General features: G+C 40.9%; 1 annotated feature.

Moving 5' to 3' along the window:
* Positions 343–550: a silencer, noted in NCBI's record as "fragment chr7:24562031-24562238 (GRCh37/hg19 assembly coordinates)". NCBI's record gives its function as "represses an EF-1alpha promoter that drives an FKBP-Casp9 reporter gene in an ReSE screen in phorbol 12-myristate 13-acetate-treated (for megakaryocytic differentiation) K562 erythroleukemia cells {active_cell/tissue: K562(+PMA)}" and the evidence as "EXISTENCE:reporter gene assay evidence [ECO:0000049][PMID:32094911]".

Below are 810 nucleotides of genomic sequence, written 5' to 3'. Positions count from 1 at the left end.
AAATAAGGATGACAGCAGCTATGTCACTAGGAACAAATTCAAGTGAGAAAAGAGCAAGATATTTAAAATACTGAAAGAAAAACACTATTAACATGGAATTCTGTACCCAGAGAAAATATCTTTCAAAATTGAAAGCCAATTAAAGACTATTTTAGACAGGCAAGAGGTAAAAAAAGCTGAAAGAAGTTATCTCCTCATTGTGAGTATTTTTCTTTCTTCCTTGCACACTTGTTTAATTTTTGGTTGCATTCTAGACATTGTGAATTTTACCTTGTTGGGTACTGAATATTTTTGTATTCACGTGATGGTCTTGAGCTTTATTCCAGGATTCAGTTAGATTACTTGGAAATAGTTTGATGCTTTGGGGTCTTGCTTTTAAGGTTTGTTAGACAGGACTGGAGCATTGTTTCAGCTGAGGACTAATTTTCCACCACCGAGTTAAGTCCTTCTGAATACATTATGTAATGTCCCATGAATCATGAGCTTCTCCAGTCTGGCCAGTGAGTCCTGTGCTACTTGAGCTCCAGGCACTGTTCACCTCAATCCTTTCAGGAGATTCTTCCCCTGGCCTCTGGCGGTCTCCTCCTGTGCATTTGCTGATTAGTGCTCAGCTAAAGACTGACAGAGAGCCAGCCTCCTGCAGATTTCTGGAATTCTCTCTCTGTTCAGCTTTCTCCATCTCATTACTCCATCCTGCAGGTTCTGGATGCCTTGGTCTTCCTGGACTTTCTGCTCCATCTTTCAACTCAGGAGTCTGCTAGACTCTGCCTGAATCTCTCTGCAGGAGTTGTGACCTGGAAATTTTCTCAA

The sequence above is a fragment of the Homo sapiens genome, chromosome 7, assembly GCF_000001405.40.
Source record: "Homo sapiens chromosome 7, GRCh38.p14 Primary Assembly".
NCBI lineage: Eukaryota > Metazoa > Chordata > Mammalia > Primates > Hominidae > Homo > Homo sapiens.
This window is presented reverse-complemented; position numbering and strand designations above follow the sequence as displayed.